This window comes from Homo sapiens, chromosome 9 (assembly GCF_000001405.40).
Source record: "Homo sapiens chromosome 9, GRCh38.p14 Primary Assembly".
Classification (NCBI taxonomy): Eukaryota; Metazoa; Chordata; class Mammalia; order Primates; family Hominidae; genus Homo; species Homo sapiens.
The window spans coordinates 134291965-134310050 of NC_000009.12; the positions used below are offsets into that span (position 1 = coordinate 134291965).

Below are 18086 nucleotides of genomic sequence, written 5' to 3' on the forward strand. Positions count from 1 at the left end.
GGTGTGTGCTCTGTATGAGCGGCCCAGGCTGAGGCTGCTGGGGCTTGGGTGCCTCCAAGTTGCTCCTGGAGAAGGGGCAGGAGGGCAGCCTGGGAGTCCCTTCCACTCTGGGCCTGGGGTTCCTCTGCCAGGGCTGGGGAGGAGTCAGTGAGACGGGGCGGCCACCAGACAAATGCGCAGTGGACAACCGCACGTTGCGTGAATGCGTGAGCTCAGGCTCACCGGGCACCTGTGACAGGCTGGCTGCTGTCGTCCTCGGGACCCAGGCTCCACGTCTCCGTCTGTAGGCTGCCTCATTCCGGCCACCAGGACTCCAATAGTTACATCTGGAGTGCCCCTCCCCACACCCACCGTGAACCGTTCCTGAAATGCAACACTGCCCAGGACACATGTGCAGGTGGAGTGTGGCCAAACCCACGGGCCTGTCCTTGCCTTCTGAGTGTGGACCAGCCAGTGTGGACCGCCCGGATTCCTCCGGGCAAGGTGGCATCCGATGGGGCGCCTCCCTCCATTCCTGCGATGCTGAGCTCCAAGCTCACGCTGTGGATGGAGCTTTGGTGGACACCCCGTCCCCGATGGGGGCTTTGGGCACCTTGGTTTCCCCACCCCTGCCTTCAAGGCCTGGAAGAGACATCTGTGGCCACGGCGTGGTTGGAGCTTGGCTGTGGTGTGTGCTCCGTACCCAGCCCTCCCCTGCAGGACCCAGGGCCATCCCGGTGGGACCCGGGGATGCCCAGAGGGTTGAGGGGCCTGGCTCCAGGTGCCTAAGCCTGAGGCCAGCGTCTGGGACTGGGCCTTTCTGACAGTACAGGCCTCAGCCCCTCAGCACCCCCGCCCTCCCCGGTCCTTGCGGCCCCTCTCCATTTCAGCCCCTGTCCTTGTCACCATCTGGGTCCCTCTCTCTTGCCTACTCCATGTAGGTTACAAGGGCAGGGATCCCGTCTGTGTGGTTCACTGTGGGTCCCCAGCTACTGCAGGTGGCTGCCAAAAACTGGCTAAATGAATGAACGAAGGAAGGAAGGATTAATGGGCATGTCTGAGTCTGGAGCTTGGCTCTCCTGTGCTGTCTCTCAGTTCCCTCTGGGGCCTGACCTTCACCTTCAGCAGAGCAGCAGCTCCGGGTCTCCATGCGGTCACCACTCACCCCTGCGGCTCAGGCCCAGCCACCTCTGGGAAGCACACCCTCACCACCCCGGCAGTCCCAGGCCCTGGTCTCTGCTGCAGGTCGTTCCACCGCCTTGTCCTTGCAGTGCAGGCTGGGGCTCCTGGAGGGGGGACTATCCTTGTGGTTACCTTTGTCTTCATCTCCACTCCCCCCACAAAGCACCTGTGTGAGCCAGGCCTTGGAGGTAGCACGCGGGGAGAAGGGCAGGGCACGAGGTGGCCTGACGCTGCTGGACTCTGAAGTCTGTGCTCACCCCAAACACATGGCCAGGTCTGCAGTAAACCCCGAGGCACCCGAGCTAGAGCAAAGACTGGCAGGGTGGCTTCTGGAGGGGTGAAGCCAACTGGAGCTGGGCCTGGAAGGATAAGGGCGTTCCTAGGGACCCAGATAAAGGGGTTGGGGGAACTTGGGTGCAAAGGCAGGGAGACGGAGGGCTCAGTGACAGCCAGGACCCGGGGGGTGGCTGGGGCAGGCTCTGGCAGCCTCCAAAGCCATGGGAAGGAGCAGATGTCCCCAGGACCCCCACACCTGACGCAGCCGTAAGGGGCTGGTGGAGAGGAACCCTGGCCTCAGCCCCACCCGCAGGGGCTGCTTCTGCCCACGCCCTGCCCCCTCCACAGGCTTCTGTCTCTGCTTCCGTAGACTCTGTTGGCTCAGACTGCAGCCCTCGCCCTGCGCCAACCCCCCCAACCCAAAGTGGAAACAGATGTGTCTGTTCACGCACACGGAAACGCACACACAAGCCGCCTTCACGTCCAAATCCCCATTTCTGGGGAGAAAAATACAAGTGACAATAAGTATAAAGAGACGAAAAAATTTCCATTTCAAACAAGTGAAAGCAGTTTGCACTCCAGTGAGCCCGGGAGGAAGCGAGCAGCTGGCGGGGGAAACAACACAGCGCCAGCTTCCCAGCAAGCCTCCGCGGGGCCTGGTCCTGGCTGGTGCGCGGGTGTGGCCCGGGGGCTGGTCCGGGGCTGTCTCTTGCTCCGTCTGGGCATCACTTTGATTTCCAAGTCAGTTTGCTCCATCCACTGAGCTGGCTCAGGGAGCTCCTGCCGAGTGGGTGGTCCCCTTTCCCGGGCCACCTGTGAGGAATGTGAGTTGGAGGTCGAGTGTGCTGAGGCAGTGACATGGCCTGGGGTCCACACAGATGCCACCAGGCAGCTCGGGCCTCGCCTGGGCGGCTCCTCGGCCTTCCCTGGCCGGCGCACTGCAGCTTTGTCCACCCAGCGCCAGAGAGGGCTCCAGCGGGCGGGGCTGGGGCTGCGCTTTGCATCCGGAACAGACACGCTGCCTGCCTGTGGCCACCTCTCCTTCCCAGCCTGGCCGCAGCTGCGATGAACTCCTGGTGAACGTGGAGGGCTTCATAGGGCTGGCTTCCCCGGAAGCTCTCTGAGGACACTCCTTTCCTCGTGGCACCTCCAGGGGGTCGGGGTGTTTGCTGGGCTCCGCCTGAGCTGATCGGACCACAGTGAAAATGAGTGAGGGCACGGGTGGAACCCAGCAAACACCCCGACCTCCTGGGGGTGCCGCGAGGAAAGGAGTGTACTTGATAGGCCGTGTGCGTAACACGCTCAGGGCGACCTCTGGAACCCTAACCCTGGCTGGAAATGGAGCTTCCGGATGACTCTCGGGATTGTTTTCACAGACACCTGATCCCTGAGGACCTGACCCCTCCAGGTGGAGGCGGGTGACCTGGGTGGAGAGGGCCGGTTTCCACCGTTAGGAAGGGGTGGTCACACGGCGTGAGACGGGCTCGCTCCCCGGCCTTGGTGTGCCCAGAGGTAACTGAGACCACTCTCCAAGTCAGTGGTTCCAAGCAGAGAGGGATTCTCCCAGGGAATCTTTCAGGCAGCCCCAAACGTGGAGCACACAGATGAGGCTCCCCGCAGGTGGGGGTGGTGGGGGGCAGGGCCTTGCCCGGTGCACAGGCCAGCGGTCCACATTAGGGAAGGCAATCTGCTTTACTCTGCCTACTGAAATGTCAGTCTCTTCCAAAAACACCTTGAAGAAACAACCAGGGTAATATCTGACCCAGTATCTGTGCGCTGTGTGGCCTGGACAGGCTGGTTGACGCCTAAAGTGAAGCAACACACTTAGCTTTGCGATTGGATGACACAAACCCTCTCCCCGCCCGAGGCCCTCACCAATGCCGACGCCGCCCCACATCCCATCCCTTACCATCAGACAAGTGATTTTCTGAGGCGGACGATGGTGAAGACTTTGGGGGCCTTTACCTGCCTCTCGTGGCCACTTTTGTGATGCCTCGTAGTCCTCAGCTCCTGAAGACATGAACTCACGCACAGCCCAGGTGACTGACTGAGAGCTCGTTAGGAAGAAATCCTAAATCCCCCGAGGTGCCAGCCAGGAATGCGCCTGCCCCCGTGGGTGGAGAGAGGAGGGAGGTTCCTCGGGAGGGCAGCGTCCTCTGGGGAACGGGTCTGGCAGACACAGTCAGGTGTCCTCTCTGCTCTGCTCCCCTTCTTGCCACGCCCCCGCCGCTGCCCAGTCCGAGTGCCCACACCCAGGACTCCACTGGCCTCCAGCTCCCCTCTATCTCCACCAGCCTCCAGGTCCCCTCTATCTCCACCGGCCTCCAGGTCCCCTCTATCTCCACCGGCCTCCAGCTCTCCTCTATCTCCGCCGGCCTCCAGCTCCCCTCTATCTCCACCGGCCTCCAGCTCCCCTCTATCTCCACCGGCCTCCAGCTCCCCTCTATCTCCACCGGCCTCCAGGGCTTCTTCACACCCGACCATGGCCTGCCTCCCAGTCCTTCCGTGGCTCCACATTGCCCTGGATAAAACCCAGACTCAATGTGACTGACCAGACCCTGTGGGATTCGACTGTGCCCCTCCTGCACCCACTCCAACTCTGCCCACCAGCCAGACAAAGCCACCTGCTGCTTAGGATGGGCAGCGATGGGCAGCGTCCTTTCCAGCCCTTGCACCGGCCATTCCCTCTGCCTGGGATACCCTCCCTGCTCTCCTGACCCCAGTCATCCTTTAGGCTGTTACTGCTTCTGACCTCCCAGGCCTGGTAGGGGCCTTGCTTGGAACTCTTGTTGCCCCTGACACATCACATCCACTTACAAGGACAGGGGTCATATCAAATTAGGCCTCCCCAACACCAGCATGACCTTATTTTAATGAGTCACACCTGCCATGACCCTATTCCCAAATAAGAGCACAGTCTGAGGTGCTGGGGGTAGCGGCTGCAACGTATCTTTTGCCAGGGAGCAAAGGCACCCCCATAACAGGTGGTTTTGAGGGTGAAAGTGCAAATGTTCACAAAAGCATTGCCCTGACCTGGTTCTAGACCTGGGAGGGGGAGCTGGGGGTGTCACCGTGTGGTTCCGCTTCCTGATGGGCCACGTGGCTTCGTCTCCTGGGGGTGGCACTGGGAGACTCCTGGGGAGCACCCACCTCCAGGCAGCTCTGCCTTTTCCCCAGCACCAGGACGCAGACCCCGGCTGCCCATGCGCCACTCCCTACCGGCTGCTGGGACCCATCTCTGATGCTCCATCTTTGCAAAACCAGCAGGACGGTGCCTTGCACCCCTCCCCCGAGGTGCAGCTGGAGTCTGCAGCCCTGCCCTGGGTCTGCAGCCCACCTGGCTTGGCGCTGGACACCGCCTCTGTAAGGAGCTGGGAGGCAGGCACTCCTCTGGTGCTGAGGCTGCTGTGGTATTTGAGGGTGCAAAGGCCGGTGGCGGGGGGGGGGCAGGCCCAGGGGAGGTGCGGTGTCTGCGGGTGCATCTTCTTCCCACAGTCCCCCCACTGAGCTCCGCCTTCCCTGGCCCAGGAGCCATGGCCCCCAAGTCCCTTTCATCTTCCCTGTTCCAGGGCTCGGGGACGAAGGACAAACAAAGGCGTCTGCGGTATCATTTTTCTCCCGGTTCACCCTCTGGCCCACCCTTTTCTTCCTTTTATAATGTATTTTAATAGGGTCGACCAAGACGGATGGCCCCGAACTGGGATGGGCGGCGCCTGTCCCCGCCCGCCCCGGCCCCTGAGCCTGGCACTGTGTGCCTGGAGCCAGGACGGACAAAGCCAGCAGGAGGAGGAGCGCGCGGGGGCTGGAGGCAGGGCGCCCGCTCACTGCCCTGGGGTCTCCTTGAGGACCTGGTCTGTGGCTTCCTGGGGTGCTGGACCCTAATTCCAAACTGCCCCCTGCTCCTGCCTGCCCCAGTAGGGCCCCCCAGCAGTCAAGAAGGCCATATACGGGGCTAGGGAGTCTGGCCCCATGCCCAGCCTTAGTGTGGGAGCCACAGAGGGGACCCCCAAGCCCACCACGTTCCCTGGCTGAGAGGTGGACGGACACACAGCACACCCACACGAGTCTTTGTTCTTTTTAGGATGCATGTGATCTCTTATTTAAGCTGTAGTGGGCTCCTCATCCACTCCTCGTGTTCCTTCCCCATCAACTCAATTATTCACATCCCTGTTAATGACACAGATGTCATTATCCCCATTTCACAGATAAAGAAACTGAGGAGCAGGGATTGAACAGCCGGTGAAAGGCCGAGGCAGCATCCCAGCCCCCAGCCCCTCAGAGGGGCAGCAAGAAGGATTCACCGCACTCTTCAAGTCCAGGGCCTTCAGCCTCCCAGGCCCGAGGGCCTCTGCTGTGCAGTGCTAGGGGCAAGTGGGCCTCCCTGACCCTTGGCTTCTTGGAGTCTTTGGCAGTGTCATGTAACCCCACCCCTCATGGGGAGGCTGAGGCTGGGAAGGACCGGGGACCCGCCCACCACACCTTTGAGTATCAGGAAAATGGGGCTTGAAATGGCGGCTCACGTTTCTGGGCCGACCCTGCCTCTTGCTCCAGGAAAGAAACTACTTTTGAAAATCCAAAGGGCTGTCCGCAAAGAGGTCAAGTCACACATGAAACCAAATCCAAATGGAAACACAGGGATTGATGTTTCCCTTAACAAGAGACTTGTTCCTCAAGTTTTCCCTTCCTGGCGTGTGGGGGTAGCTCTGCTCACAGGAGCTAAAAGACGGGAGCAGCCCCAATGTCCACCACCAGTGAATGGATCAAGGATGCGTGGCAAGTGGAATATTACCCAGCCATGAAAAGCTATCACGTGGATGGACTCTGTAAACTGTTCCATAGGAGAAGCCAGACACAACAGCCAGCATACTATATGACCCTATGAATATGAAGTGTTCAGAACCGGCAAATCTATGAAGACAGAAAGGAGATGAACAGTTGCCAGGGACTAGAGACGGGGGAGAAGGCTAAGGGCATGGAATTTCTTTTTCTTTTTCTTTTTTTTTTTTTTTGAGACGAAGTCTCGCTCTTGTCCCCCAGGCTGGAGTGCAATGGTGCGATCTCGGTTCACTGCAACCTCCACCTCCCGGGTTCAAGCGATTCTCCTGCCTCAGCCTCCCAAGTAGCTGGGATTAGAGGTGCCTGTCACCACGTCCGGCTAATTTTTGTATTTTTAGTAGAGATGAGGTTTCACACCATGTCGGCCAGGCTGGTCTCGAACTCCTGATCTCAGGTGATCTGCCTGCCTCGGCCTCCCAAAGTGCTGGGATTACAGGTGTGAGCCACCATGCCCGGTCAGTGCCATGGAATTTTTTTGGGGGATGGATGATGAAAACTTTCTGGAGTTTGATAGTGGTGGCGGCTGCACAACTCTCTGACTACACCCTAAAAGCCACCTGCTTGATCACTTTAAAATGGTGGATTTTATGGTATGGAAGTTATATCTCAATGTTTTTAGAAAGCCCTAAGGGGGATGTCATGGTTAATTTTATGCCAACTCAACGAGGCTAAGGGATGCCCAGCTGGCAAAATATTATTTCTGGGCGTGTCTGTGAGGGTGCTTCTGGAAGAGATTAGGGTTTGAATCAGTAAGCTGAGGAAAGGAAATCCACCCTCACCAGTGTGGCATCGTCCAGTCCACTGAGGACCTGAATAGAACTGAGGGCGGAGGAAAGGTGGGTTCTTTTTCTCTGGTCTCGAGCTGGGACATCCATCTCTTCCTACCCTTGGACATCAGATCTCCTGGTTCTTGGGCCTTTGGACTCAGACTGGGTCCTACACCATTGGCGTTCCTGGTTCTCTGAAATTTGGGCTGAGACTGGGACTACACCACCAGCTTCAGGGACCTCCAGTTTACAGATGGCTGATCACGTGACTTCTCACCTTCCATAATAGTGTGAGCCGAGTCCCATCATAAACCTCTTTCTACATCTCTATACCTCTACCCTGTTCTTTTTTTTTTCCTTCGGAGAACCCTGACTAATACAGGGCAGCTGTGGTCAGCCAGGGCAACATTCTGTTCTCTGGTGCTTTTGAAAGTGGGGTGCAGGTGCAGCCCTGGCTCAGCCCCTGGAAGGGAGCTTGTGTCAGGAGTGAGGCAGGACTCTTGGATGATGGTCTTGGAATCTCAGAAGCTCACAGCTGGAACAGGCCTTCTAAGCTCAACTCCTTAATTTTGCAAATGGAAGACTGAGGCCCAGAAAGGGATGGCGGCTCCATGGAGTTTTGAATTCCCACCCCTCGGTCCTGAGCTCTTTTCCCAAAGATTGTGGTGGAAGCTGTGTTGATGGGTGTTCTAACCGGTTCATCTGAATTCCTCGAATGTGGATTCCAATCCTTCATCTCACATGTGCCATAGGTTTGCATTCGAGTATATACAAGTTATCAATTGATGAATAAGAAGTTATCCCCCAACACGTAGTGGCTGTAATAAAACCAACAATAACCATTTATAATCTTCCACAGTTTCTATAGGTCAGGAACTGGGGAGCAGCTTAGCTGGGCAGATCTAGCTTGGAGTTTCTCGAGAGGCTGCAGTCAACATATTGGCTGGGCTAACAGGACTTGATGGAACTGGAAGATCCAGTTCCAAGGGGCTCACCCGCATCTCTGGCAGACTGGTGCTGGCTGTTGGCAGGAGTCACCAGTTCCTCCCCGTGTGGACCTCTCCACAGAGCTGCTTGAGTGTCCTTACATGGCAGCCAGCTTCCCCCAGATCACATGACCTGAGAGAGGGCAAGGCAGAAGCCATGAGGTCTTTTATGACCTAGCTTCAGAAGACACACAAGGCATTTCCACAGCGTGCTATTGGTTACACAGGTTGCGGGGCCATCCATGGGCACGAACACCAGGAGGTGGGGATCACTGGGGGCCATCTCGGCATCTGCCTACTACAAGCATGAACTTATTAAGTTTACATTTAAAGATAAACTCTTTCTGGAGTCGGTGAGTGCAAACTCTCAAGCCTTTGCTGTTGCTGTTTTTAGTTCTTCCAAATAAATTGATGATAATTCCCGGTGATTGCCCACACTGCACCAAATCTTGTGGGCATCTGTCTGCCCAAGGCAGTATTTTAAAAGCTGCCTAACACTGTCTCTTTAGCAGGCGGGGAAGCTGACAAACCTGGGTACTGAAGGCAAAAATGTCCCCACGCACAACCTGTCCCTCCCACAACGGCTCACACAGGACAATAAAGATGGAAGCAGATTGTGGCACTGGTGCTCGTGGGATGGTCAATGCCATCATAATCAACAGTGCTCATAAATCAATAAGAAAGGCCAGATGCAGTGGTTCACACCTAGAATCCCAGTGCTTTGGGAGGCTGAAGTGGGAGGACAGCTTGAGGTCAGGAGTTCAAGACCAGCCTGGGTAACAATGTGAGGACCTGTCTCTACAAAAAATTAGCCAGACGTGGTGGTGTGTACCTGTAGTTTCAGCTACTTGGGAGGCTGATGCTGGAGGATCCCCTGAGCCCAGGAGGCCCAAGTTGCAGTGAGCTGTGATTGCATCACTGCCCTCCAACCCGGGCAACAGAGACAAAAAGAAAGAAAGGAAGAGAGGAAGAAAGGAAGAAAAGAAAGAAAGAATAAGAAAGAAAGAAAGAAAGAGTGGAAGGAAGGAAGAAGGGAGGGAGGGAGAAAGGGAGAACAGGGATGGGAGGGGAGGGGAAGGGAGGGGAAGGGAGGGGGGAAAGGAAGGAGAAAGAGATAAAAGGAAGGAAGGTAGGAAGAAGGGAGGGAGGGAGAAAGGGAGGAGAGGGGAGGGGAAGGGAGGGGAGAAAGGAAGGAAGGAGAAAGAAAAGGAAGGAAGGAAAGAGAGAGAGAAACAGAAAGAAAGAAAGGAAGGAAGGGAGAGAGGGAGGGAGGAAAAGGAAGGAAGGAAAAAGAGAGAGAAAGAAAGAGAATGAAATGAAAAAGAAAGAAAGAAAGCTGACTGAGCCACAGGTCATCCTTGGCCTCTTGGGAGCCTCCTCCCTGACCTCCATGTGGCTCTGTGGCCTTGGAGGCTGACCCTTAGGGACTGAACGAAGAGCTCAGCCCTCCAGCCTCGGAGAGGCGTGTCAGGTATGGTCAGGGTATTGATTTCTCCAGCTCCCTCTCTGAGAGGTCACCTTGGGCGAGCTGCATCATACCCCCTGCCAGTGTCCCCTCCCTGCCCTGTGTCTCTGGGCTCAGGTCACTGCCTCCTCCCATTCCCCCGGCAAGCCTGCGGAGAACAGTCCCTCTTTTCTATCACAGCCTTGGGCAGGGCCCAGGCCTTGCAGTTTACCTGCACCCATCACCAACGCTGCCTTCACCAGCACACCTCCAGTTCCTCTCTGTGAGGGTGCCAGAGGTTGGGGACCCTGACCGCATCTCAGGGGGAAAAATGGGCACGGGGCAGTTGACAAATGGACCCTGCTCAGATAAATTCTGTCAGTCTGCAGGGGGATGCCTGGTTATGATCGGTTTTGTGGATGGTGAGAATATGAGAAAAGGTTCACAGGCCTGAGTCATAAAAGAACTGAAAACCAATCCTCAAGAAAACACCAACAAATAGCTCTCAAGAATACCACAAAGGTGGCAGCCAGGCCCTTCCTGAGCTCACCAGGCTGCGGGGACGCAGTGAACACACCTCTGACTTACAGTTTCCTGGCCGGGGAGTCATGCAAAGAAAACAGCCCAGAACCCACAGAGGTGTATGGACAAGGGTATTCGTCAGAGGAGTTATCTTAGGGAGGAGCCGGGTTAATTGCTATAAATCTGTCTGCCAGACCCCGTTGCTACCATTACCAATGAGAGCTTACGGGTATTTAATGGGACAATAAAATGTGCCTAATTGAAAATTAATTGAAAAATACTTATTAAGTTAATAATTTGATGGAAAATGTACAATCATAATTAATAATTAAATAATCAAATTAAATTAATAATTTAATTGAAAAACAGGGTAGAAAGTGGTAAATATAGTATGATCTGAATTAAGTAAAAAAATTTATGAATTTATTCATGATAAAAAAGGCTAACAGGAAATGAAACAAAGCACAAATAATGGTTATTTCTTCATGGTGAGATCACTGGTATTTTTCTTTTGTCTCTTATCCTTTATTTATTTTTGTTTTTTTTGTGTGTGTGTGTTTCTTATGCTTTACTTTTAAAAATTTTCTAAGCTTTCTCAAATGAATTTCTTTTTTCATTTAAAGGGGAAAGGACTTTAAAATTCATGCCTCCTGGGACAACATACGTAAAAAGGCCCACTTCAGACAGATGACCTAACGTGATGAAGATAATACCTCTTGCACCTGTGCCGTGTACCCTAGTTTACCAATGCCTTGCCCCGCAGAGTCCCAAGGAAAGACTCTGACAGAGGCTCCAGAGAGGTGGTGACAGGTGACCAAGAGCTGAATCAAAACTAAGGAAGCAGGGCTGGACCACGAGGGATGGATGGGGCAGGCTTAGTTTAGCTCTGGGCAGATAAAGCCCTGTAAGCATGGTCAAGAGGGTGACCGCATGGACCATAAACGAAGAACGGCTTTAGGGGAGATGGCGGGAAGTGAAGGTGTGTGGATGGATGGGGCTTTGCTGTGAAGGTGGTACAGCTGGAACTTCTGCAACCTCACTTGTCGCAGGGCCTTCCTGCAAGGCCGTAGACCTAATTTTAGATTCCTAAGTTAGTATCCTTTTTTGTTGAGACGGAGTCTCGCTCTGTCGCCCAGGCTGGAGTGCAGTGGTGCGCTCTCGGCTCACTGGAAGCTCCGCCTCCCGGGTTCACGCCATTCTCCTGCCTCAGCCTCCTGAGTAGCTGGGACTACAGGCGCCCTCCACCATGCCTGGCTAATTTTTTTGTATTTTTAGTAAAGATGGGGTTTCACCATGTTAGCCAGGATGGTCTCCATCTCCTGACCTCGTGATCCACCCACCTTGGCCTCCCAAAGTGCTGGGATTATAGGTGTGAGCCACCGCGCCTGGCCTTTTTTTTTTTTTTTGAGACGGGTTTCACTCTTGTCGCCCCAGACTGGAGTCCAATGGCAAGATCTCAGCTCACTGCAACCTCCACCTCCAGGTTCAAGTAAATCTCTTGACTCAGCCTCCCGAGTAGCTGGGATTACAGGGGTCTGCCACCACGCCTGGCTAATTTTTGTATTTTCAGTAGAAACGAGATTTCGCCATGTTAGCCAGGCTGGTCTTGAACTCCTGACCTCAGGCGATCTGCCTGCCTTGGCCTCCCAAAGTGTTGGGATTACAGGCATGAGCCACGGCGCCTGGCCAGTATTCATTTTCTTAAAGAGGCCTGCAGACTGAACAGGCTTTCTGTCTCTCCCAAATCTAGACCTGCCCTGACATAAACACATCCGAGCTTCTGGTGCAGAATCCCTGGCTTAGGTGAGGCAGGTCCCGGGCACCGTCTCTGCCAGCACCCCTGTCCCTGCTCACCTCCGTCCTCAGCCCCCCTCCCCATGGCAGGACCTCCTAAAGCCTGGTCCGTTCCTCTCCCCTTCTGGATCTGGGCCTTCAACCATGTGGCTCCTTCAGCTGGAAACATGCTTCCCTTCTTTTTGCTTGGCTGCTCTGAGACTTATGCCATGCCCCTTCTTCAGAAGGCCTTCTCCCTTCTCAGCCTGAATTAGGCATCCCCTCTGCTGTCACACCTCTTCCCCCAGCCTAACATTCACCACCTATCCCTGTAATTAATTGTCAAACCGTCAGCCCCAGGGCAGGGACAGCCGCTGCCTCAGTCACTATTGTGTCCTCTGCGTCTGGCACTACCCCTGGCACATGAGAGATGCTCAACATTTTTCCTAAATAGACAGCAGGGCAAAGGAATGGGTAAAACCAGACCCTTCCCAATCCACATGGCCCACAGGGATTTGATGCCTTGTGCAAGTTTCCTAAGCCCATAGGATGCCTGGAAGGCCGTGTGCCTCTTGCTACGGATGCCCTATCTCTGATCCACCCAGCCCTCCTCCGCCTGCACTTCGTACCCTGAGCAGGGCGTGGGCTCTTCCAGAAGCCCACGTCTGACTTCTTTTTCCTGTTCCCCTGGTCTCCCAGCTGGACCCCTGTCTCTGCCCACTTGGGGGCACTGAGCTGGGACTCACTCAGGCCGCCGGCCACCCTGGGCTTGGCAGAAGGGGCGTCTGTTGTCCTCAGTGTGTGCCCTCTCCTCGCTGTCCCCTACTGTCCCTGACCCCCGGCCCCCGCGATCACGCCCCCCATTGAAGCTGAGCCCCACAGTCAGGCGGGCCCTGCTGCTTCACTTCTGACTCCTCATTGTCGATAATACCCTATTAAAAGTTGAAAATACATTTTCCTCCTGCCGATCTCTTTCCTTTTCATTTAGCAAACATTGATTTTTTTCCCCCTCCTGCAGATGGAATAGAAATGAAATCACCCACGTCTCTTTGGGGTGATTTAGTTGTCAGAGCCGGAGGCAGTGGGCAGATGAGGGCTGCTCTTGTCACCTCATCCACGGGTCGCTTTGTGACCTCCGATGGTCGTTTGGCCTCTCTTCTCTGCCGTGTCTCCCCACCCCCAGCTAGAAAAGGAGACCCTGGTGCCCCTGGCTGGGAGAGCAGGAGGCCCCGTTCACCAGCCAGAGGAGCCTCCTGGAGAGGTTCGGATAAAAGCCTCTGTTAGAAAGCCCAGCTCAAGGTTGTGTCAACACCAAATACCATGAAGTGGCAATTATCCAATTAGCTTGATTAGCGTAGAAAGCACCACCAGCCGCTGCTCTGCACAGCCCATCCTGTCGTCTCCCGAGCTCAGACAGCTGTGCAGTGTAGGACCTGAGTACTGGACTCCAGAGGCTGGGCCTCCAGGCACACCCGGGCTCTCCCTCTCTGGGCCCTGATTTCTCCATTTCTTGTTTGGGGATAATAAAGCCTTCCTCACAGTCTGTGGTGAGGATTCGTGAGCTGGCCTCAGCGCAGCCTCTGGGAGACAAGGGGAGCAAGTGCTTTAATGGTAACCACTTGGCCAGTGGTGTGGTATAGGCCAATTTATACTCAGGGCCCAATGCTTCTCTCAGGGTCAGCGTGGGCAAGCCACATTGTGACCCGGTTTCTTCATTGGTTCCAGAGGGATTCTAACAGCACTGGCCTTAGAGATGCATAGGCACAGGGTTGGTGCCCCACAGTGAGGGTGATTGCCATGAGGGTGATGATGATGGTGATGATGACCATGGTGGCGATGATGGTGGTGATGATGGTGCTGGTAAGGAAGATGGTGGTAATGATGTTGATGGTGGTGATCACCATGTTGGTGGTGATGATGATGTTGATGGTGATGATAGTGGTGATGATGTTGATGGTAGTGATGATGGTGATGATGGTGGTAATGATGTTGATGGTGGTGGTGATGATGGTGGTAATGATGTTTATGGTGGTGATGATGGTGGTAATGATGTTGATGGTGGTGATGGTGATGGTGGTGGTAATGATGTTGATGGTGGTGGTGATGATGGTGGTGGTAATGATGTTGATGGTGGTGATGGTGGTGATGGTGATGGTGATGATGATAGATGGTAGTGGTGATGGTGATGGTGGTAATGATGTTGGTGGTGGTGATGGTGTTGATGGTGGTGGTGATGATTGATGGTAGTGATGATGTTGATGGTGTTGGTGATGCTGTGATGGTGGTGATGATGTTGATGGTAGTGATGATGGTGGTAATGATGTTGATGCTGGTGGTGGTGATGGTGATGATGTTGATGGTAGTGATGATGGTGATGATGGTGATGATGTTAATGGTGGTGGTGATGATGATGGTGATGATGGTGATGATGTTAATGGTGGTGGTGATGATGATGTTAATGGTAGTGGTGATGATGATGTTGATGGTGATGATGTTAATGGTGGTGGTGATGATGATGGTGATGATGGTGATGATGTTAATGGTGGTGGTGATGATGATGTTAATGGTAGTGGTGATGATGATGTTGATGGTGATGATGTTAATGGTGGTGATGATGATGATGATGTTGATGGTGATGATGATGGTGGTAAGGATGTTGATGGTGGTGATGATGATAATGTTTATGGTTATGATAAAACCCCTTTCTCATGGGTTCACTATACAGCCAGCCAAGGAAATAGACTTGTCAGAGAGCCCTTCCAGAGCAATCTCCCACCTATTGAGAGGTGGGATCTAATTCCTCTCCCTGTGAATCTGGGCTGGCTCTGCAGCCTGCTTAACCAATAGGATACAGTGGAAATGATGTCACATGGTTTTTAAGCTTGGCCAGAAGAAGCCTTGCAGCTCCCCCTCTGAGCCTCTGGGACATTCTGGGAGCCCTGAACTGTGACACAGAAGGCTTACTGCGAGAACACCATGCTGGATAGGCCACGTGCAGGAATTCTGGGTGACAGTCCCAGCTGAGCCCAGCCTTCCAGTCATGCTGCCAAGGAGCCAGACTCGTGCAGACAACCCTGTTAGAGCCTCCAGACCAGCTGGCTGCCAGCAAATACCACCCAGTGAGCCTCGTTTACACCTCATGAAGCAGAAGCAGCTGGGTGGACCCCATGGGATTCCTGACCTACGCAATTGTGAAATGTAATGAAATGGCTGCCAGGAGCTACTAAATTTGGGGGCAATGTGTTCCATGACAGTCGGCACCAGAACAGTGGGTCTGATGGTTCTGGCCTCAGCCACCTCCTGGACAAGTGCCGTGGCCGCCTGGTTGAGCATTACAGGCTTGAGCTCCGACCTGGGCCTTGTCCTGCTATGGGGTCCGCTGGAAACTGCGGTTGTTTCTTTAAACAAAGAGCCATCCAGACCTCTGACTTCTCAGCATGGGGGAGGCAGGCGTGTTGTGAGGCTGGCACTAGCAGAGCTGTACCAAGCCACAGAAGAAAGGCCGTGAAGGCCATGTGTGGCCCCAGCACAAAGTGAGCCAAGATCTGCCCTGGGGCCCTGGTGGGGTATGGTCACTCCAGAGCAGGGCAGCCCCAGAAGATGAGGCAGGCTGGAGGGTGCCACCCAGCAGCCCCAGGGGTCCCCATGCTACCCACAGCTGGGGACTTTCTTTTGCCAGGCCTGCCAATGGGGAGTCACCACAGGGCCCTGGCTGCCCGGGGCTGCCCTGAGAGGAAAAGGGGCACAGGCAGTGGAGAGGGGTCGGAGTGGGAACAGGGCAGCCTGCCTGCCCCAGAACTGCCCTGGGGGAGGAGGACTTCCTCTCCCACACATTTCATTTACAGATGAGAATTTGGGGGTTTGGAGCTTTGGGGACTGGACTGAAGTCATACTCCTGGGGCCAGAACTTGAACCTAGGTCTGCCTGATCCGCAAGCCCATGCCCCCTGCCTCTTCCCAAGATCACCCCATAAGAAATTGAGGGGTTTATGGTTACAAGGCAGGGTGCTTTCTGAAGCTCTTTTCCTCCTCAGAGGGCTCAGTTTGGTTATGGCATGGAGCACAGCCCATTGATCTTGAGCTAACTGAATCCCGCTCCTTTTAGTGATTAACTCCCCCACCCACATCGGGTGAAGTTCAAAGTCTTCTCTGAGCAGACACACCCAGTACAAATAACTAATTGTATTTTAGGTGTTGGGGTGGCAGGGGGAGCGGTCTTGGAAAGAAAATGCAGCCAAATGCGGGAAGGCTTAGATACGGGGCCAGGGAACCCAGTACAGCCCACTGCTTGCTGTTTCCTGGGGGACAGGAACATTTTTTAACGACTTACAGGAGCTGCTTGTGGCCCGGATATAGAGCCAGACCTTGAGCGGGTGAGGACCGTGGAGGGTACGTCGATGCTGGGACCTGGGATCCCAGTGATTTTGATTTTTGACTGCCCCCAGGCCCCCAACTCACATACTCTTAGGTATGGGTGTTCTTGCCTCTCACTCCAGCTGTACCTAGCACTGACAGCTCGAGCTTCTACCAGAATTCCCTCCAGGGTTCTGGTTCTGAGCCCTGGACCACACAGCCTGTCCCTCCCGGACCATAGACTCTCTTCTTAGGCACCCCAAAACTGTCCAAGTCTGTATGGTTGCCCTGCTCCTTTGCTCTGCTAATGCACTCTCTTCCTGCCTTCACCCAGCACCTGCACCACGGATGGCTGCACCACGGCACCTGCACCACAGGGACACATGCCACAGGAGCAGACACCACAAGAGCAGACACCACAGGAGCAGACACCATGGGAACCCACACCATGGGAGCAGATACCGTGGGAACCCACATCATGGGAACAGACACCACGGGAGCCCACACCATGGAACAGACACCACTGGAGCCAATGCCATGGGAGCAGACACCACTGGAGCCCACACCATGGAACAGACACCATGGGAGCCAATGCCACGGGAGCAGACACCACAGGAGCCCACACCATGGGAGCAGACACCACGGGAGCCCACACCATGGAACAGACACCACTGGAACCAATGCCACGGGAGCAGACACCACGGGAGCCCACACCATGGGAGCAGACACCACGGGAGCCCACACCATGGAACAGACACCATGGGAGCCAATGCCACGGGAGAAGACACCACGGGAGCCCACACCATGGGAGCAGACACCACAGGAGCCAATGCCACGGGAGCAGACACCATCGTGGGAACCCACACCATGGGAGCAGACACCATGGGAGCAGAGACCAAGGGAGCAGACACCACCGGAGCAGACACCATGGGAACCCACACCATGGGAGCAGACACCACCGGAGCAGACACCATGGGAACCCACACCATGGGAGCAGACACCATGGGAGCAGACACCACGGGAGCAGACACCAAGGGAGCAGACACCACCGGAGCAGACACAATGGGAGCAGAGACCATGAGCGCCCACACCAGTGGTGTCCAATGTGGCTCCCCACTCCCAATCTTGGGAGCTGCTGCTCACTGAGCCATTGATCTCCCTCTATGATACATCAAAGCCGAACAGGTGGGCTCTTATATCCTCCCCATTTTACAGCCAAGGAAGTGAAGAATTGGAGAGGGGAAGACACACAGCTAACAAGTAGCAAAACCAAAGCTGGAATCTCCAGGGCCCACAGAGCCTCCCATCTTGCTTCCTTTGGTGACATGTTGCAGGAATAGGGGAGAAAAGCTCCACTCTGAGGGCATCTGCTATGAACACTTACATGCAAGTCTTTCTGAGAACATGTGTCCTAGCAGTGGATGGTTGGGTCATATAGAAGATGGGTAGTTAACTTTAAAAAAAATACCATTTTTTCCCCAGGGTGATAATACCATTGTATAGTCTTATGACCAGTGTAGAAGAGTTCCAGTTGCTCTATATCCTCCCTACCATGTGGAATAGTCAGCCTTTGATTTTAGCCATTTCAGTGGGTGGGTGGTGATATCCCATGGTGGTTTTAATTTCCATTTCCATAATGAGTAATAACGTTGAGTGTTTTCTGTGTGCTTATCGGCCGTTCATATATCTTCCTCTGTGAAATGTATGTTCAAATCTCTTGACTGTTTAAAAATTGGTTGGTCTTCCTACAATTGTGCTTTAAAAGTTCTTTATATATTCTAGATAAAAGTCCTTGGTGTGGGGCCGGATGCAGTGGCTCATGCCTGTAATCCCAGCACTTCAAGAGGCCAAGGCAGGCAGATCACTTGAGATCGGGAGTTCAAGACAGGACCTGGTCAACATGGTGAAACCCTGTCTCTACTAAAAATACCGAAATTAGCTGGGTGTGGTGGCAGGCACCTGTAATTCC

The 18086-nt window shown here is 54.6% G+C and overlaps 1 long non-coding RNA gene across 1 annotated transcript, besides 1 other annotated feature; it reads right to left on the reverse strand.

The window, feature by feature from the left end:
* Positions 1-1966: 1966 nt before the first annotated feature.
* Positions 1967-3433, reverse strand: LINC02247 (long intergenic non-protein coding RNA 2247). Its single transcript, NR_146518.1, has 2 exons — positions 3347-3433; positions 1967-2622 (listed from the first exon to the last, which is right to left on the reverse strand). It is a non-coding gene; the product is annotated as a long intergenic non-protein coding RNA 2247 (long non-coding RNA).
* Positions 3163-3884: an enhancer, noted in NCBI's record as "H3K4me1 hESC enhancer chr9:137186973-137187694 (GRCh37/hg19 assembly coordinates)". NCBI's record gives its function as "activates a minimal SCP1, AML or CMV promoter by ChIP-STARR-seq in naive H9 embryonic stem cells {active_cell/tissue: H9 hESC(naive)}" and the evidence as "EXISTENCE:reporter gene assay evidence [ECO:0000049][PMID:30033119]".